This window comes from Homo sapiens, chromosome 2 (genome assembly GCF_000001405.40).
Source record: "Homo sapiens chromosome 2, GRCh38.p14 Primary Assembly".
NCBI lineage: Eukaryota > Metazoa > Chordata > Mammalia > Primates > Hominidae > Homo > Homo sapiens.
In genome coordinates, this window is record NC_000002.12 from 17,739,348 (window position 1) to 17,760,164 (window position 20,817).

At 38.5% G+C, this 20,817-nt stretch overlaps 2 protein-coding genes across 24 annotated transcripts in view, besides 3 other annotated features; one reads left to right on the top strand and one right to left on the bottom strand.

Annotated features, from left to right (window-relative positions):
* SMC6 (structural maintenance of chromosomes 6) overlaps positions 1–14,463 on the bottom strand; it is an 89,999-nt gene extending 75,536 nt beyond the window's left edge. For 5 of the 16 annotated variants that reach the window (XM_017004916.3, XM_011533108.4, NM_024624.6 and 2 more), the window contains exons 1-3: positions 14,279–14,463; positions 6,480–6,604; positions 2,265–2,382 (exon numbers count right to left, since the gene is read on the bottom strand). In XM_017004916.3, coding sequence (XP_016860405.1) covers positions 2,265–2,382; positions 6,480–6,599 — 238 coding nt within the window. In that variant the 5' untranslated portion in view covers positions 6,600–6,604; positions 14,279–14,463. Of the gene's footprint in view, positions 1–2,264; positions 2,383–6,479; positions 11,658–13,630 lie in introns of those variants that run through there. The other 11 variants (XM_047445838.1, XM_047445836.1, XM_017004915.3 and 8 more) reach the window with 3 other exon arrangements.
* Positions 8,538–9,221: an enhancer, noted in NCBI's record as "OCT4-NANOG-H3K27ac hESC enhancer chr2:17929152-17929835 (GRCh37/hg19 assembly coordinates)". NCBI's record gives its function as "activates a minimal SCP1, AML or CMV promoter by ChIP-STARR-seq in primed H9 embryonic stem cells {active_cell/tissue: H9 hESC(primed)}" and the evidence as "EXISTENCE:reporter gene assay evidence [ECO:0000049][PMID:30033119]".
* Positions 13,931–20,817, top strand: part of GEN1 (GEN1 Holliday junction 5' flap endonuclease) — a 35,669-nt gene continuing 28,782 nt past the window's right edge. The window contains exons 1-2 of one of the 8 annotated variants that reach the window (XM_011532822.3): positions 13,931–14,422; positions 20,582–20,757. In XM_011532822.3, the coding sequence (XP_011531124.1) occupies positions 20,597–20,757 (161 nt within the window). In that variant the 5' untranslated portion in view covers positions 13,931–14,422; positions 20,582–20,596. Of the gene's footprint in view, positions 14,423–14,521; positions 14,621–14,790; positions 20,758–20,817 lie in introns of those variants that run through there. The other 7 variants (XM_011532820.3, NM_182625.5, XM_006712005.4 and 4 more) reach the window with 7 other exon arrangements.
* Positions 13,939–14,298: a silencer, noted in NCBI's record as "silent region_11189". NCBI's record gives its function as "represses an Ori minimal core promoter by ATAC-STARR-seq in GM12878 lymphoblastoid cells {active_cell/tissue: GM12878}" and the evidence as "EXISTENCE:reporter gene assay evidence [ECO:0000049][PMID:35858748]".
* Positions 14,439–14,578: a silencer, noted in NCBI's record as "silent region_11190". NCBI's record gives its function as "represses an Ori minimal core promoter by ATAC-STARR-seq in GM12878 lymphoblastoid cells {active_cell/tissue: GM12878}" and the evidence as "EXISTENCE:reporter gene assay evidence [ECO:0000049][PMID:35858748]".

Below are 20,817 nucleotides of genomic sequence, written 5' to 3' on the forward strand. Positions count from 1 at the left end.
AAAATTAAGCAGGCTGGCCGGGCACAGTGGTTCACGCCTGTAATCACAGCACTTCGGAAGGCCAAGGCAGGTGGATCACTTGAGGCCAGGGGTTCGAGACCAGTCTGGCCAACATAGTGAAACCCCATTTCTACTAAAAATACAAAAAGTAGCTGGGAGTGGTGGTGCACACTTGTAATCCCAGCTATTTGGGAGGCTAAGGTGGGAGGATTACTTGAACCTGGGAGGTAGAGGTTATAGTGAGCCAAGATAGCACCACTGCACTCCAGCCTGGGCAATAAAGCAAGACTCTGTCTCAAAAAAATAAATAAATAAATTAGGAAGGCATAGTGGCATGTGCCTGTGGTCCTAGCTACCTTCAAAGCTGAGGCGAGAGGATAGCTTGAGCCCAGGAGTTCAAGGCTGCAATGAGCTATGATCACACCAGTGTAGTCCAGCCTGGGTGACCCGGAGAGAGAGATCCTTTCTCTTTAAACACACACACACACACACACACAGACACACACACACACACACACAGAGAATATGGTAAACACACACACACACACACACACACACACACACACACACACACACACACAGAATATGGTAACCATTTTCTGAACTCCATTCAACCAATCCAATCAACTATTATTAGCCCATTATCTTCCGCAAAGTAACACAAAGTAACTAACGCACACCACTGATTAACCCAATTTATTTCCTGGAATGCCTGTAAAGTTCCTATTCTAACTCTCTTTTCTTCATTACCAAATGCACTGCCTCCACTATTTGCATTATTTCCTCTTCTATTAGGTTTTATTAATAAAAATCATTGTTTCAAAAGTTAAAAGACCTAACTTCAGAACCCATCAGTATTTATTTCTTGTCCCATGTGACCCCTCTAAAACAGTGATCCCCTTGTCCATCTGTTTCTCCTAGAGACACTTTCTTCCTGACTGAATGATAAAGTAAGAAAAACAACAAAAGGGACTGCAGAGCTACACATAACCTAGCTTCCTATTCTAGCATTGTCACCAGTTGGTAGACTCTGGCAAGCCTCCTCTCCCTGTGTACCTTCTCAGCCCAGCAGCCAACACCTCATTCTTGGCAGGCCTACCACAGAACTGCCCAGAAACTTTCTGCCTTCTGTATTTTTCCCCTTCTAATCCATTGTCCACAATGTGGTCAGTTTGTTTCAAGAATTGTGGCCATGCCATTCCTTTACTCAAAAACTTTAATTGTGGCCGGGCGCAGTGGCTCACACCTGTTAATCCCAGCACTCTGCGAAGCCGAGGTGGGCGGATCACTTGAGCTCAGGAGTTTGAGATCAGCCTGGCCAACATGGTGAAACCCCGTCTCTACTAAAAATACAAAAATTAGCCAGGCTTGAAGGCACGCTAATCCCAGTTACTCACAAGGCTGAAACAGGAGAATCGCTTGAACCTGGGAGGCAGAGGTTGCATTGAGCCGAGATCGCACCACTGCACTCCAACCTGGGCGATAGAGGGAGACTCTGTCTCAAAAAAACAAAAAACAAAAAAACAAAAAAAACCCCAAACCACCAAACAACAAACAAAACTCTAATTGGTTCCCCACTGTCTTCAAAATAAAACTTCAAACTCTTTAACATGACATTCAAGATCCTCAACAATATTGCCTAGAGCATGACTCTCCACAGTCAGCTTCTGCCTCTCTCCACTGTCCACCATACAATAAACCATATAAGGTTATTCACCAGTTCCTATACACATCTACCTCTACTCCTCCAAACCTTAGCTAATGAGCAATCTTTGCCTGGAACATCTCAGCTTCTTCTTGCCAATAAGACCTAAATAATCGATAATTTTCATTCAAGAACTGGCACAAATACCACCTCCTCTTAAAGCATTTATTGGCCACCTGGTGAGAACTACTTTTATGTTTGGATTGCCAAGTCACTTCATTTGTGCTCTTACAATGTTTAGTAAGGCAAGACACAAGGCTGCCTCAATTGCAATGAGGATCGCTTGTCTACCCTTCTATGGTACAGATTCCAAGATAAATAGATTAAAAACATAAGCAGGAAATGTTTATCCCTATTGCTTAAGTAATGTACCTAGAGTTAACTCAGTATTTTCTTTAAGTGTACACTGGCAGCAAATACCAAGAATATTCATAACCACAAGTTATACATCTATAGAAAAAATACTTATTAGCACTAATAGTCACCTATTTCAAAAAGTTAACGTACTCTAATCTCAAAGTACTGCTCAAAGTCAAACGAGAAGGGAAAAAACACTTACTTCCATTGTTGCCAACAACAAAGTTGACATTAGAACCAAACTTAAAAGGTCCAAGCATTGAATGACACATGAAGTTTTTTAGGTGAATACTCTCAATTATTCCAACTTCTGCTGCAGTCTATTAATAAAAAACAATGGGAGAAAATGGTCAATCTAATTCACTCATTATAACCATTCAAGCATTGTTGGCATCAGAAAGACTAGCACCATCACCAATGAAAAAATTTACAGAAAGTGAATAATGGTAACTTCAATGAATAAGATGAAATTAAATGGGAACCTTCTATGAGTCAGTACTCATTCTAAAATCTTTAAAGGATTTAAAAGTATATCACCAGGTTTCTTAATATTGGCAATGACACTTTGGGTCTGATAATTTTTTGTTAGTGGAGGGGGTTTGTCTTGTGCATTGCAGAATGTTTAGTGGCATCCCCAGCCTCTACCCACTAGATGCCGGCAACACACACCTGCCCCTAAGTTGTGACAACCAAAAATATGTCCAGACATTGCTAAATGTCCCTGGGGGGCGCAAAAGGGAGAGAGAAGAATCCCCTTTGTTGAGAACTGCTATCCAATTGGCATAGTAAAACTTCCTATATACTTTATTTAGAATACCTCTGAAAGATGACGATCCAGCCATGCATTCAACACTGAATTCACTATCTGACATTCACTATTTCAATTCAGAGAGCAGAGTACATGTTCTTAAAAAGTAAAGCCTGCTCTTCTTGTGACTTTGTCACTTATTATGGCAACTGTGTGACTTTTGGCAATGTATAAAGCATATACAGTTTCCAAGTCCGTAAAACAGGAATAATATTTCCTATACTATAAATATTATATCAGCATTAAGTTAGATAAGGTTTACAAATGGTTTAACCAAGAGTTTGGCAAATGGTAGTCACTTGCACTTTGTAGTTATCTAAGTACCAGAACAAATCAGCCTTATTTTATCAGGTCTTCTAATTTTTTTGAAGACCATTTTCAAGTCTCCAGGTATTTTAAAGATTTCTTTAAAAACTCCCCGGCTCTCTTCTTCTGGACATACGTCTTACTAAACAGTAGAAAACATTTACATCCTTGTATGAGTAGAACACTGGAAATCATGGTTGACGAATTTTTAAAATATTTTTATTTTTAAATAATAACAGATTCACGTGCAATCCTTAATGAGATCCTGTGTACCCTTTACTCAGTTTCCGCCCATTGTAACATCTTGCAGAGCTAAAGTACAATATCACAACCAAGATACTGACATTGACATAGTCAAAATACAGAATATTTCCATCATCACCAGGATCCCACATGTTGCCCTTTTATAGTCACATCCACATCCCACCTTAACCCTGACCCACAATCTGTTCATTTCTATTAACTTTGCACTTTCTAAAATGTTAAATAAATGGAAACAGACAAAATGTAGCCTCTTGGGACTGGCTTTTTCCACTCAGCCTAATTCTCTGTTGTTGCCTATATCGGTAGTTCGCTCCTTTTTATTGTTAAGCTATATTTTATGGTATGGATGTACCAAGGTATATTTACTAGTTCCTTTGCCTTTTCACCTAAATTTTAGAATAAAATATATACCTACAAAATATCTTGCTGAGGTTTTAATAGAACTGCATTTAAATTTACATATCATTTTGGGGGAGAACTGACATAATTTCTATATTGAGCTGTCTAATCCGTGAGTAAGTATGTGTCTCCATTTATTCAGGTATTCTTTGATTCCCTTCATCAGCACAGTATAATTTTCACCATATTAGTCCTGTACATATTTTGCTAGCTTTAGACCTAACTATTTCATTTTTTAATACTTAATTTTTTAAGAGTAGTTTTAGGTTCACAGCAAAATTGAGAGGAAGATACAAAAATATCCTATATACCCCCTACCCCCACACATGCATAGTCTCCCTCATTATCAACATCCACTATCAGCGTGGTACATGTGTTACAGATGATGAACCCACACTAACATATCATTATCAACCCAAGTCCACAGTCTGTACTAGGGTTCACTCGATATTATTGTACATTCTACAGATTTGAACAAATTTATAATGACATGTTTCCACCATTTTAGTATAGTACAGTTATTTTTACTGCGCTAAAAATCCGGTGCTCAACCTATTCATCCCTCCCTTTCCTCAACCCCTAGCAACCAACCACTGATTTTTAACTCTCCATAGTTATGCCTTTTTCAGAACGTCATATAGTTGGAATCATACAGCATGTAGCCTTTTCTGACTGGCTTCTGTCACTTAGTAATATACGTTTAAGGTTCCTCTATGTCTTTTCATGGCTTAATAGCTTAATACTAATAGTGCATCGTCTGGATATACCAGAGTTTATTTATCCATTTATCTACTGAAGGACATTTTGGTTGCCTCCAAGTTTTGGTAATTATGAATAAAGCTGTTATAAACATGAATGCACAGGTTTTCATGTGGACGTAAGTTTTCAACTCCTTTGGGTAAATACTAAGGAATTCAACTGCTGGACTGTATGGTAAGAGGATGTTTGGTTTTGTAAGAAACTGCCAAAGTGTGTTCCAAAGTGGCTGGACATTCTCACCAGTAATGAATGAGAGTTCCTGTTGCTCCACATTCTTGTCAGCATTTGGTGCTCTCAGTGGTTTGAACTATTGCCATTTTATCAGGTGTGTTGGTATCTCAATGTTGTTTTAATTTGCATCGTCCCAAAGTGGTTCATTTTTTTTGAGTGATTGAAAATGGTATTTTGAATTTTAACGTCCATGTGTTCAACGCCAGTATATAAAAGTAAAGCATTTTAAAAATACCTTATCCTATAACTTTGCTGAATGTATTTATTCATTTTAAGAGTTTTTTGTAGATTCCTTGAGATTTTTTATGTAGATAATGAACAAATGGATTATCTACATAATCTGCAAACAGAGACAGTTTTTGTGTGTGTTTTTCCTTTCCAAACTCTATACCTTCTGTTTCCTTGATTTATTTGCAATGCTAGATTTTCTAGCACTATGTTGAATAAGTGACAGAAGCAAACACCTTTGTCTTCTTCCTGATCTTTGGGGAAAAGTATCCAATGTTTTACCATTAAGTATAATGTTAGCTGTCAGTTTTTTTGTGAGTGCTCTTTAACAGGTTGAGGAAGTTCCAGTCTATTCTTATTTTTCTGAGAGTTTTAGTCATGAACAGGTGTTGAATTTTATCAAACACTTTTGCTGCACTGAGTGATATAATCATGTGATTTTTCTTCTTTAGCCTGTAACATGGTGAATCACAATGATTGATTTTTGGATACCAAATCAGGCTTGTATACCTAAAATAAACCCATTAATTATGACGTATAATTCTTTTTACATATAGTTGGCTTTTCCTATCTGCGGGTTCTGCAGATGTGAATACTCAGGGCAGATTATAAGGGACTTCAGCATCAGTGGATTTTGGTCTGAAGCGGAGTCCTGTGAACCAATCCTGCTTGAATACCAAGTAACAACTACATTGCTGAATTCTCCTTGCAAATATTTTGTTCAGCATTTCTGCAACCATATCTATTAGGTATACTGGTTTTACAGTTTGCTTTTTTGGGGGTCCCTCATTGTCTGGTTTTGGCATCAAGATAATACATTGAAAAGTGTTCTCTTATGATTTTTGGAAAAGACTGTGTAGATTCATGTTAATTCTTCTTTAAATGTTTGGTATAATTCTCCAGTGAAACCAACTGGGCCTGTAGATTTCTTTTATAGGAATTTAAAAATATGAATTAAATCTCCTTAGTAGTTATAGGGCTATTCAGATGATCTATTTCGTACTGGGTGACTTGTGGTAATTTTTCCTTTTTGAGGATTGGTCCACTTCACCTAAGTTGTCAAATTTATGTGTGTAGAGTTGCTAACTGTATTTCCTTACCCTTTGGATGTCTGCAGGGTCTGTGGATAGCCCTTATTTTATTCCCGATATTGGTAATTTGTGTCTTTTCTCTTTTTGCATTTCTTGGTCTTACTAAAAGTTTGTCAATTTTATTCACATTTCTATACATTCAGTTCTTTATTTTCTCTATTAATTTTTCTAATAATTAACATAAGCTTCAAAATTACCCAGAACAGATTTTACCTCAACTTTTAAAAAATCATATTACTTTTTCTTGATTTTAAGTTATCACAGAATGTGATATGATGAATGTTACAAGAAAAACATATCAAAAAGCATAATTTTGTAATTTTTCGCTTACCAAAGTAGTACCTTTACATTCGTCTTCGTCACCATCTTTATCAAAATCCTCCAATTCTTCTTGTCTTGGCCTTTTGGCATTTTTAGGAGAGGAAAAATTTTCTTCCTTTCTTTTGGCCATCAGGTCTGAACAAATATTTATAGTAACAATGAGGTAAATCAAGTTCCATATATATTAAACTCAACAAAATAAATCTAACAAGGCTAATTAAACTTTAGGTACTATGTCCATCCATTTTTACCTTAAAAATTAAAGTAAATTAGTCTTGCATCTTGCACTAAGGAAGAGGGACATGAGTCAAAAAATGCTGGAAAAGGCAAGGAAATAGATTTTCCCCTAGAGGCCCTAAAACAGAACATAGCCCTACTGACATCTGGATTTTAGCCCAGTGAGATCTGTGTTGGACTTCTAATCCACAGAAGCGTAAGATAGTAAGTTTGTATTGCTTTAACATCTGCATATTCTATACTAGTTGATTTTACTTCAGAGGTATTCATAGCCAAGATTTTATCAGTATAAGCCTACCTAAATGTTGTGACTACTAAACTCACAAAAGGTAAAAGATTTTGTGAAATTGTGGTTTCTAGTTTTCTAAATCTATTCATAGAGATGGCATGGTGACTCCTGAAATTATTCCAAAGCAATGCACAATTTTCACAAGTTATAAAGTAATCAGATAAAACTTTTAATTTTTAAGTTGTTTTCCCAAAGAATCATATTTTGAAGCACATTGCTTAGCACCAGTGGTTTCCTTTAACTCTTCCCTAAAAAAAAAGTCCAGGTTGATTGTCTATTTTTTGCCAATATACTACAAAATTTAAACCTAGAAAATTAACATCTTTTAAATTACACATGATTTTGCTAAACATATGAATACTGGATCTCCAGTCAAAGCTGATAGTTTATGATTAAAATTAAACTTTATGACCTCTTTGACTGCTGCTTTCATTTTTTCCTTTAGAGTACATTTAAGACCTAAAATGATAGGTATCTAATTTAATTGTTTGCTAAAAGGAGACAAAAATCTCTAACATAATCAAAAATTTCTAAGATATAAGAATATGAGGAACAGTTCTAGGCTCAATGTACTGAAATCCCCCAAATATTAGACCACAGCAACCCTCTCCATACCATGTATATACCTGGCTCCCCTACCCATGCAAGCAAAATCCAAGTGGGTAGTCTGGACTTCCACCCTAGTGAGGCTACAAGGTGGCATCTCAACACCCTAACTGGGGTAGAGTCAAAGGCTATGTAGACAAGTAGGGAGCCATGATAATGGTGTCAGCGGAGACCACCTAGAGAGCCTAGATTTCCACCCATACAGGAAGTAATACGGTGTTACTTACTCCTTCTCCTAGTTGGCTAGTATCAAAGGAGGCCTAGTGGAAAGTCGGGACTTTTCCCATTGCCCAGAGGTGAGAAGACCACTCCCACTGCAGTGTCACTGGAGACCATATGGGAAACTGAAACTGCCACCCTAGCCTAGCAGTTGCTGTGGCTAAGGAAATAGCTCCAAGTTCCAGATCTGAGTCTCTTTGTCCGCAGTCCAATATGGAGGGAAGCAGTTCTCAAAGGTTGTAATCTCTTTTACAAAGGACTTCAAAGAGCTTTTGCTTATGTCTATCAATATTTATTATATTAGAAATTAAAACTAAACAACTTTTTTTCTTTTTCTTTCTTTTTTTTTTTTTTTTGAGATGGAGTCTTGCTCTGTCTCCCAGGCTAGAGTGCAGTGGCACAATCTCAGCTCACTGCAACCTCCACCTCCTGGGTTCAAGCGATTCTCTTGCCTCAGCCTCCCACGTAGCTGGGATTAAGGTGCGTGCCACCATGCCCAGCTAATTTTTTATTTTTAGTAGACATGGGGTTTTGCCATGTTGGCCAGGCTGATCTCGAACTTCTGACCTCAAGTGATCTGCCCACCTCGGCCTCCCAAAGTGCTGGGATTATAGGTGTGAGTCATCACGGCTGGCCAAAACTGAGCAACTTTTAAAACAAGGGACACACAGTATATATTCCATCAGTCACAGCAATGACATCTCACAAGCCATGTAACCTCTGGAAAACTCCACTGTACACTCATAAGTGAATGAGAGTGAAAAGGGCAAATAACATCTTACTATTATCATTAAAACAGTTTTGGCCTTGTAGATCCCTTGCAAGAGTCTCATGGATTCCTGCACCACATTTTGCAAAGTGCAGCTACAGGGGGATACTAAAAGCAAGTCCATGATACAGTGTCATAAATTATAAGGCACAGCTAGGAAGCAATAAAGTTAGAGCATTAGGGAAGAAACAGACCACAAAAGGACTTGTAGACTCCTCATATTTAAAGTGTGGTCCAAGGACTGGCAAGCAAGATCTACATCTCCTGGGAAGATATCCACCTATCAGATATCCAGAATCTCAGGCCCCACCCTAGAGCAAGTGAATCAGAATCTTCACTTTAACAAGACTTAAGGTGATTCACATGCACATTAGAGTTGAATTGTTATGTAAACCATGGAAAATAACTGGGACTTTATCCTATCCTGAAGTCAATGAAGAACCTTATATATTATGAAGTCGAATACCATTTAAAGGGTACATTACTTACCATCCAAAGAAGGATATTTAACCTAAACAAATGCCTTTTAAGACAATATTACCATTACAGTTACAGCTACATAATATTCAGCTTCATTTTTACAAATTATTTAATGTTTTGAAACTGTTATTAAAATCAAAAATATTTTTCAAAATATTTAATAAGAATCAACATAGATCGGTTTCAGTTTATTATTAATTTAAATTCCCTGAGATACTACCAGGCCATTATTTTTCCAACACTTTCTTCTCTGCTAACCACCCTCTATTCCCTTCTCAGTTACTGAGCAGTAATTTATTTATTATAGAAGAGCAAACAGAAAGCATTACTTTTTGGTGTCCCCAACATTTAATGCCCTTTTAGAAACTGTTTTTATTAATGCCTAACACATGATCATGCAGTTAGCAAGCACTCAGACATAAGCTAATGGATAACGCACTAGGGAAAATGTGATACGCTTCTCACAAGGAATGTGAGATTCTATATAGAAGACAGTACACCCAAACACTACGTGATGACGATGTTTTTTATTTGCTGAGAATGTTTTTTATTTGCTGAGCATGACCTGGGATTTGCAGTTTGCTATTAGGTTGCCACGGTAACTTGCATCTAACAGACACTGAAGGATCCTACCTTTTAAAATAGGAATCACTTTGTAATTTAATGATGATGGATTTTCAAACACAGATTCGAATGTCTAGAGCATCAGATACAGATTAAAATAGTAAAATTGTTTCCAAAAGGCTAAAGAAACATATTTACAGATGCAAAGAAAAATATTTTAATTATGCTGGAATAAAAAAAGGAGAAAAAAGCCTCCTCTGGGATTTTCAATTTATCCATAAAGCTCGTCATAGTTTTTAATATTTCTTTACTTATTTATAATTTAAAAAAAACAGAATTAAAGAACACCTCATTTCTCCCTTACAGGATACAAGCAGGAACAATGAAGATTATCAATAAAATAATAAGTTCAAGAAGAAAAATTAATGGCCGGGCGCGGTGGTTCACGCCTGTAATCCCAGCACTTTGGGAGGCCAAGGCAGGCGGATCACGAGGTCAGGAGTTTGAGACCAGACTGGCCAATATGGTGAAACCCCGTCTCTACTAAAAATACAAAAATTAGTCAGGCGTGGTGGCGCGCGCCTATAGTCCCAGCTACTCAGGAGGCTGAGGCAGAAGAATGGCTTAAACCCAGGAGGCGGAGGTTGCAGTGAGCCGAGACTGTGCCACTGCACTCCAGCCTGGGTGACAGAGCGATACTCCGTCTCAAAAAGAAAAAAAAAATTAATAACCAAGAGTTCATTATTGCATGTAGATGCATAGGAAATTTGATAGAGATCATGCATTTTAACAGAATTCTAAATTTTATTAAGTATATAATAATTCATATTTCCTATTAATACCAAATTAGGAACTAAGAGTAGTGACACACATAACAGAATTAGAATTTAATAAAAAAGTGTTATCATTTTTTTAAAAAGGCAAATTACTACTACTTCTGAATCTGCCCTGGCCTGTGTTTACCACATCCTCAATTCTACTCTGCCTATCACAACAGACATTTATTCTATGGTAAACAACTTCATTTTGAATGTGCTTAATTAAGTACACTGCTTGGAATATATCACGAAATTATATGAGACTTATTCATTAAGTCCACCCATCTAAAATTTCAGGATCAGCAAAACCGGGAAGTATAAAGCACAGCATTTCAGTTAATAAAATCTGAACACTTAGATTTCTGTACTGAAAACATCCTGTGGCTCAATATAGAAGATAGATGAAACAGAAAGTAAGAATAGTAGCAGAAGAGATGAGTTGCTAAACAAAAGCAGTGGTAATATCAGGGACAAAGGGAAGAGATAAAACAAGAGATTTAAAAGACTGAATTAGTAGAATTGGTGAGTACAAATGGGTGAGTAGAATTAACATCTGCTGAATAACTACATACTTAGCTTTTGAGATGAACACTTTCTATTTCCTTTGATCCCCAACATCTTTATGAGATAAATATTGCCCTTATTTTTACAAAAGGAGAGACTGAGGCACAAGTAAATGACTTGAATTTATGTAGCTACAACTTAGTTCTAACATACAAAGGCTTCTATAGCTCTAACATAGCAGAGCTCAGATCCAAATCCAGGTTTGTCAAAACCCAGTTAAACCTCTTTAACGCCCAGGTTCCTACTGGCATAAACTGAAGTTTGACAGTTAATTATTCATAGAGAGTGAAATTGGCTATTAATCTGTCCTTCATCTCGTCTATCCTTCATTAAACTTAAAAAAAAGATTCTATTATTGGCTGGGCGGGTGGCTCATGCCTGCAATCTCAGTACTTTGGAAGGCCAAGGCAGGCGGATCACCTGAGGTCAGGAGTTCGAGACCAGCCTGGCCAACATGGTGAAACCCCATCTCTACTAAAAATACAAAAAAAAATTAGCTGGGCTTGGTGGCGCATGCCTGTAATCCCAGCTACTCAGGAGGTTGAGGCAGGAGAATCACTTGAACCTGAGAGGCAGAGGTTGCAGTGAGCCGAAATCATGTCACTGCCCTCCAGCCTGGACAACAAGAGTGAACAGCTGTCTCAAAAAAAAAAAAAAAAAAAAAAAAGATTCTCTAATGTTACTATTAAAGTCAATCAAAACTTTGGGTGTGCTTTATAAAACTTCATTTTGTGTTTCATCTTCACACTTAATACTAAATGCCATTATAAGTTCATGGAACAGGTTTGGCAAGTAGGGAGAATGAAATTTATTTTATTTGAAAACACTGAGTTTGGGCTGGGCTCAGTAGCTCACGCCTTGTCATCCCAGCACTTTGGGAGGCCGAGATGGATGGATCACTTGAGGTAAGGCGCTCAAGACCAGCCAGCCCAACGTGGTGAAACCCCATCTCTACTAAAAATACAAAATTAGCCAAGTGTGGTGGTGCATGCCTGTAATCCCAGCTACTCCGGAGGCTGAGGCAGGAGAATCGCTTGAACCCGGGAGGCAGGATTGCACCACTGCACTCCAACCTCGGCGACAAGAGTAAAACTCTGTCTCAAACAAAAAAAAAAAAAAAAGAGGAAAAAAAAGAAAGAAAGAAAACACTGAGTTTCAAGTGCTCCTAAGGTATTTTGAGATAGAGGCCAGTCAGTAGTAAAGGATACTCTGCAATGGAGAAAGATTTGTGGGTGGAGCTAAGGAAGCTACTGGAAGTAGTTTGAATTTGGTGACCAAGAAAAGCATGCTCAGAGAGAAAAGATGTTAACTTGTTTAAATAGTGAATCAAAAATGCTAACATTAACCTAAGCAACTACGCTTGACCCTCAGTCAGCTGGACTTATCGTTGTGTATAAAGAACTATGGCATTTAATTGTGTCTTAAATATAATGCAAGCTATCACGGTAAAATTTTGAGTTACTTACTAATTCCTAAAAGTAAGCCAAGTACAGCTTTAATTATTTTTCCTAACTTTGGTCTAAAAATGACAGTCAAGATTTAGGTAGGTTTTACATAAAATTCTACAGATTCAGTAAAATACACTCAGTAAAATAAACCTTTGGGGAATAAAACTTGTTTTTCACTGTAATACCTTTAACATGACTTGTGTACTTTTTGCCAGGCTCAATACTAACTGGTTTATACGGATTGCAGACAGATGTCGATATATAACTACATAACTTTCTCTTCCTCTCTGTGTCCACATATTTAAGAATCCTGTCAGCTAGGTACAGTCAATCCCTAAGAATTGGTTCCAAAATGACAGCCCCTCTCTCTCACTCAGATACCAAAATCCACAGATGCTCAAGTCCCTTATATGAAATGGTGTCATATTTGCATATAACCTCCCCACATACTTAAAAGTTATCTCTAGATTACTTATATAACCTAACACAATGCAAATGCTATGTGAATAGTTGTTATACTGTACTGTTTAGGGAATAATGACAAGAACAAAAAAAAGTCTGTGCAACCATCCACTTTTTTTCCTCTGAAATATTTTCAGTCCCTTGATTGAGTCCACGGATACAGAGGATGCACTGATAACTGTATTATTTCTTCCAACTTGCATAAGAAGAACTGAAACTTAAAGAGGTGGTACCAACCTGCTCAGAGTCACACAATTCTGGCTTTTTGTGATATAAATACACGCTTTTAGGCAATATACTAGTGGCCTCCAAACGTTTTGTACTTGCACCCATTAAGCAAAAGAAATTTGAAATACATGTTCCAACATAAAATTAATACCCTATGTTTCACGTAGAAATCAAATGAAATAAATCTAAATAGAAGTTCTAATATGTTCCCTCTCTACCCACACACCCATGGAACAAACTGCATGCCACTGTATATACTATTGTACATGTTAAAAGATCACACTGCAACCATATAAAAGTCAGGAGATTTGGGTTTTTCTTTTTTCCTTTGAATATATATTACTGAGAAGTTTGCCTTTAAAACACTGGCTTTTAATCTACTACTCGTGACATATGCAGAGTAATAAGCGCTCACAAAACTTCTGTCTTGAGGGCTCAAACACCAAATGATTGCTCTAAGAATTTTCACAGTATTACCTCAAACCCTATTGGTTCTACAACCTTTCTCTACCCTAGAGTCCTGTTTTCCGCAATTCCCAATTGGGATTCTTCTCCGGTTCATTTCTGTAAGAAATGAGGGCAGAGAAATGCCATCAGTAAACCTTTGAACACATGTTAATTTTTCTAGGTAATACAATTTGCATTTTCGTAAAACTGGGCTTTAATGACAAATCCGATTTCAGTGATCTTTGCATACACCCTTTAAACACACCAGTTGCCGCCTGCGAGATATCATCAGACTCATGCTAAGAGCCACTCCCTACCCCAGCTTTCCCCAGACCTCTCCCCGCTTTACAGTTATTCGCCACAGCCCGGGAGAGTCTGGGGACGGCCGCCTGGGAGGGGACGGCCGCCTGGGAGGGGACGGCCCGGAGCAGACGCCAGGTTTCCCGCGGCTCAGGAGACCGGTGCCGCCTCGGAGAGCGCGCGAAGGTGCCGCCGGCCGCCCGACCCGCCCGAGGAACGGACATCTCCCGCCCGGGCCCGCAAGGACGACCATGAACACCGCCGCAGCTCAGCTGACCCTGCCTCTCCCGGGTGGCTGGGGGTCGCCAGCCAAGGGGGCAGCGGGCGGAGGATGAACCCCGGAGCAAGGGAAAGCGACAGCGCGCGCCTTCACCCTACCGCCAACAAGTCGAAGTCTCCCAAAGGAACCTGATCGGCGGGGCTGCCGTGGTACGACCGGCCGCTAAGGCCACCCTGCGGGCGTCTCGACCTCGGCTGACCGCCGCTGGCCCCCTGGGAACCGCGTGCCGGCCGCAGGAGAAGGTAGATTCCCGGGAGCCCCGGCGCCCACCGCGGTACTAACCGCGCCTGCGCCCCGCCCTCCCTCCCTTCGGGCTCCGCCCGCGCCTGCGCAGTTGCGGGGTTTCGCGCCGCCGGAGTCTGAGAGGCCGGAAGTGCCCCTTAGCGGGTGGGGGAAGCTGGTAGGCACGGGCGGCTCCGCAGTGACCGGACTCGGGGGAGGTGAGTGATTTGCCTAAGTAAAAGGGAAAGATAATTGAGCGCCCCCGGCAGCTGGTCTACGCATGCGTCCGCTAGGCCGGCTGGGAGCCGGCAAGGGAAAGCCGAGCGGGCCCCATTGGGGGAAAGGGGTCAGTCACTTCCCGGAAGAGGCGGGGCCGCGCGGGCCCGGCGCTGGATTCGAAACGCTTCCTGGTGCTCCTGGGCCTGGCGGTTGAGCCCGGGGAGCTAGTCTTTGCTTGGGTAAAGAAAGAGGACTTTCCTTTTTTTTTTTCCTTTTGAGAAAATTCAGAAATTTGGAGGCACAGTAGTTAGGATTCAGGCCAAACTGGTAAATGACGAAGGGGCTTCTTCCAGAGCCAAGGAGGAAGGGTTGTCCGGGTAAGTCCCGCGGGACGTGGAGAGACGGCGCCGCCCGGGTCCTCCCACTGATTCCTTTGACCATCTGGCTTACGGACGAGCTCTTTGTTCGCTGCTCCTCCGAAAACGCCTTCAATGACTCCCTTTGAATAAAGTAGGAAGTCCGAACCGAGCCGCCAGGCCGCGACTTGGCCCCTGTTTTCCACTCGCGAGGGCCCTGCGTCACCCCGCCTCGGGAAAGCTGCGCGTTCTCCGGCCGCTTGCGCTTGGCCGAAGCTGCTGGGTCCCGCTGTGCTTCCCCCGGGCATGCGATGGGGATAATTCCCACGCCTCGCTCAAAGCCATCCCGGGAGAGCCCTCCCTGGTCCCCATAGGCACAGTTGGGTGTTCCCTTTTCCGTGTTAACCTTGTATTTCGGATATAGTTCTGTTATAGTAATTACTTTAAGGTATTGTAGTTATTTACAATCAGTCTTTCCCCCACGGTAACCTAGAGTGTAAACCCCCTAAATAAACGTCAGAAGTAATGAAGTCTTAACTTCCTTGGCTTAGGTTTCAGCGCCCTTCTCAACCCCACACTCCCGCTTCAGTCTTTACACAACCCTTCCCATGAATATGCTGACCTAACAAGTAACCTACTTTTCATACTCCAAAATCTTCTCTTCTGTGTGGGGAAAATAATGCATTGACTGCCACCTCACTCCACCTCCAAATAAATTGATGTTGAAATTCTGGCCTCCGGTAATGGAATTCTTTACATCAAAGTCACTTTTTATTTCTAAAAGTAATCACATATATATTATATTCCTACTGTGGCCCTTGCCATGGATCAACGAAAAATATGACATAGTCAAAATAGACCAAAACATCTGGCCTTGTTGTAACCAATGGGAAACACGGTTGGGAGGTCCCTACTTACATGTCACTTGCTTCAGGAACCGTTCCTTGATTCCTAAGTGGGGGACCTTTTTTCCTAAATACAACTATAGCTTGCTTTCTTACCTCTTAAGCCCTTTTTATCTGCAGTCTCACTTACCCTACTAAGGTCTTTAAATGCAGGGCTTGATCTTCCATTATTGTATCTCCAGCACCTATAAAGCTTTCCTGTTAAATAGTAGACATTTAATAAGTATTTATTGATAAACGTGAAGTATGCCTCAACGTTTAGGCTAAATTCATATGAAAATAAAATTGAAAAAATAATTTTAAAGAACAGCATTAGTTACTGAGATTATGTGGTAAATCCCTTAAAATATAATCTTGCATTGAAATAGTTTTCACCATTTACCAGTCTTTATATGAATATATACTCATCTAAATGGAAATTGGGAAATTTAAGCATTTTCTGCTTTTCCGAAGTAAATTTTCTAATGTTTTTCTTAAAGCTGAACTAAATTGCAAAACTTGCTTTAATAAAGTGTGTATTTTTGCATCAGTTAAGCCCCTGACCTCTTTATGTTCTTTAAATTTGATTCATTAGTGAAATTAACAAGGTTCTGTGTTTTTCTCACCTCATTCAGTTTTATAATTAACCAATAAAAGCTTATTAGCTTTTAAGGAAGTTTTAGGAACTTAAATTGATTTATGGGCACCATATGGTTACATCAAAGGACTTGTTTTTGTTTTAACTGGAAGTGGATTCTTAAGTCCTTTAAGATGGAAATTTATGTTCTTTCTATTATACCAAGCAATACTTTCTGAAATAGAGTGATTTTTTTTTATTCCATGCTACCAGTTGGTCATGCAATTCAAATATTAAATACTAGATTACAGATATTAGAATCTTGTAATGCATCTGGTTTAATACCTGTCATTTTGTAGAACGGTTAAATGTCTTCCCAAGGTCATACACCTAATCAGTGGTATATTCAAAACCCAAATCCTAGGCTTCCTATCTGAAGTCCATTGCTTATGAAGTGGTTTGCTATGTGTTCTGACTTTGTTGATTCAAATAAGTAAGCTAAATCAATTTAAGCCATTAATAGGTTTATAAAGTTATTTGCTATGTGTTGTTCTTACATCATTGATTCATGTAAGTAGACTTGTGTGACAGCTAATTCTTAAAAAATTATGAAGATGTTAGACTTCTTTTGATATATATATGTTGATTGTATGAACAGATTGACATCAATATACTTATTCATTATAAAAGATTTGAGTGGGAACTCACCAAATCCCACACCAAAAAAATTTAAAATTTTACCATAGTAAAAAAAACTAAAAAGCAAGATGAAATTATACATAGTTCTTGGTGTAGTATTTTTAATTTTTATTATTTATTTTTATAGAAATGGGGTCTCACCATTTTGCCAGGCTGTTCTCAAACTCCTGGCCTCAGGTGATCCGCCTGCCTCGACCTCCCAAAGAGCCAGGATTATAGGCATGAGCTACCATGCCCGGCTAGTGTAGTATTTTTAAATTTTACTTAATGCTGAGCCATTTTCAAATAACCTCATCACATTGATTATGACCTCATGCAAGAACCATCTGTTCTATCTTTCAGTGTAGTTGTACTTTAATATCTTAGAAGCTATTGCATTCTGTCCTTTTTTGGAATGTTTTATGCTTTTACAGTCTTAACCATTGCTTCTTAATATCACTTCCGCGGAACAGCTGGTGCAAAGAACATGTGATAAGGAATGGAAAACAATTGATGATGGAAACAGAGATTTGGAGTTAATTGCGTTCTTAAAATATTATGATGTTCTTTCTAATAAAATGTACATTTCACATAATTTTCCTCTTTCAGAACTAACCATGGTTAATCATTCTTTAAACCAGGTTTGTTTCCGACAAAAGAAATGAAATAATAAAAACTAAATTCTAACTGTAGTAATCATGTGATATTAAAGATATTATTTATGGGGTTAAAAGCCCTCTTTATCTTGCTTAGGGGTTTCCAATAATCGAATCAGTGCTGGACTTTTTTTTTTTTTTTTTAGGCATGGCTGCCCCCTGTTAATAATATATTTAATTAACAGCTTTACACAATGATCTTAATATACTTGAAATACTTAGAGGACTGCAGTTTATAAAATCAAGAGTCTACCTTATTGCTGTTTTATTTTTTTTTTTACCATAACCCTCAGAAGGAATACAGTTAACATCACAGTCCTATATATAAATGTGTGTTTATGTGTGCCATCATAAACATCACTGCACTAGGTGGCAATCTTCACTACTATTCATTTGTGTATGTGTAGTCAACCTACGAAAGGAATCATTAGAAACAGGGTAGGAATGTTGAACCTTAGAACCGGAAGTTGCCAGAGAAAATATGTGCCCTGGCCAACTCCACAGGACTAGTTCTAGGCAATCTGAAGGAAACCAGAAAATGTGAATTTCTCTTCCCTCAAAAAGCTATACTGAAGTAGTATTTAATATTCAAGTACTTGTAAATTTGCAGAACAGTACTTTTTAATTTGACCCATGAATTCTATTTAAATTTGTCACTTAATATTTAGCCAAGAAGCAAACCATCTAAAAAGATTTCTGGTTTATTTCTCCAACTCCTAATAAATAGGGTCACATATTTTTTAACTTTTTTCTAATTTGAAAAGTAATACAGGCATATGGTATTTTAAAAATGAAACAACACAAAGGGATATGTTTTGAAAAGTGGTTCTTGCCATCCCTGAACTGTAATCATCCCTAACATATTCATACCTGTTTTCATTTTAAAAGTTGGGTCAGTTTTTTTATTAGTACATGTATTTCTATCCTACTGATTTATTTGCTATATCATCTAATTTAGTTTGAATATTCCATAATTTACTTAATTAGTCCTGTATGGAGACCTAGCTCTTCTCAGTGTCTACTATTATAAACAATGCTACAGTGAATATTGTTGTATAAATCCATACACACCACGTAACATATCTTAAGTTCCTGGAAGAGATATTGCTAAACCAGAAGATAACCTGCATTTAAAATTTTGACTGCTAGGGTCAGGGTCACATTTAAATTAAATTAGAACAAAGGAATTGCATAATTGTCTTCGATAGCAATCTATTCCAGTGTGCACCGTGAGTCACAAAGGAAAGCAAAACTGTCAATAACTTTCTTCTCAGACTTTTGGTTTAATGTGTTCTGATGGGTTAATAATTTGTCTCATTTCTCTTCATAATAATGACTTTGAGAATATTTGTACTGCACTCTTTTTCCAGAATTAACCACAACTTTTCACAGTAACTGAATTAATGCCACAATGGTACATTCAACCAGTGGGGCTTCAGGATGTGAAATAGACAATATTCTGGGCCACTGTTACTACCAAATACTTTCTTTACCTTTAAGTCTGTATATTTTTATCTGTAAAGTGACATCCATAGATGTCACTGTACACTTCATAGAAATGAGTACACAGAATAATACTCATGGCAGGGCTGGGTGTGGTGGCTCATGCCTGTAATCCCAGCACTTTGGGAGGCTGAGGCAGGCAGATCACTTGAACCTGGGAGGCAGAGGTTGCACTGAGCTGAGATCTCGCCACTGCGCTCCAGCCAGCGTGACAGAGCGAGACCCTGTCTCAAAAAAAAAAAAAAAAGGAATAATACTTATGGCAGCACTGGCCACACTATAAAATTCAGGTTCAGAAAAACAGGGTAAGTCACAGACAGCAACGCTTCCAGCATTTATTTTCTTTGCACCCATGGGCAATTTGAGAAAATTTACCTTTAGAACGAACTCTGTTAAAGGTACAGACAATACAGTACTTTTTATTCAGAAGGTTTCTGCATAAAGGTGATAGTCTTTTGACTTAATATATTATTGTCTCCTGCCTTGTGTTTCTGGAATGAATGAAGGTCATTATTTAGAGGATAATCTGGGTTGTATTTGTGTCGTCAGATTGAATTTTCATTGCACATGCTACTTAATGTCTTTACCAAATAATAACAAAGGGAAAGAAAACCAAATATAGATGTATAATAAGGAAAAGCTGGCCTATAGAAAATACCAAACCAGATAATAGTAGCAAAGTTTAAGCCAATTTTGTTTTTAAAATGTCATGTACGTGGAAAAAGGTTTAACTTTAGTTTTCTTTGGGTGGTGGTTAAAAGTTATAAGTGATTAAAAGTTTTTTTCTTTTTCTACAATGAACATTATGTGACCTTGCAATTTAAAAAGCCAACGCCCTTTTAAGAAAGTTATGTCCATCAGTATTCCTCTAACTTCATTTTCTCTCGTTTCTTCTTCCCTCACTTTTCTAAGTTTTCCTTTATTAACCCCATTTTTCTTTAGTTTGTTTGCATGCTTCCTTGCTTTTCTTTTTTTTTTTCCTGGGTATGATAGAGAATTAGTCCCATTCTCTAAGTATGTAAATCAAGGAGTGAATTTTCAAGTAGACAAAAATGATTTACAGCATCCTTGCATTCGCTACCGATCTCTGCTTTTGTTAGCTCTTGTTTTTAGCTGGGAAAAAGCCAATTACCGCCATTTTAACGTTTCAGGTGTTCTTAATTCATTTTGAAACGCTGACTGATGAAAAAAATAAGGAATATCCTCTATGAATTATCCTGAACTGGCTTATAATATATTGTTTGAATTCCTGTTATGAGCTTCTGTTTCTTTAACAATATTTTGTAAAGTGTGTTTCACATAACAGCAGATAATCACCAGAATGGGAGTGAATGACTTGTGGCAAATTTTGGAGCCTGTTAAGCAACACATCCCCTTGCGTAATCTTGGTGGGAAAACCATTGCAGTTGATCTGAGTCTCTGGGTGTGTGAGGCACAGACAGTCAAAAAAATGATGGGCAGCGTCATGAAGCCCCACCTCAGGTATAGTAAAAGCTCTTACAGTATAAATGTATGATGTATAAACAGTCTTGGTATCTTGAT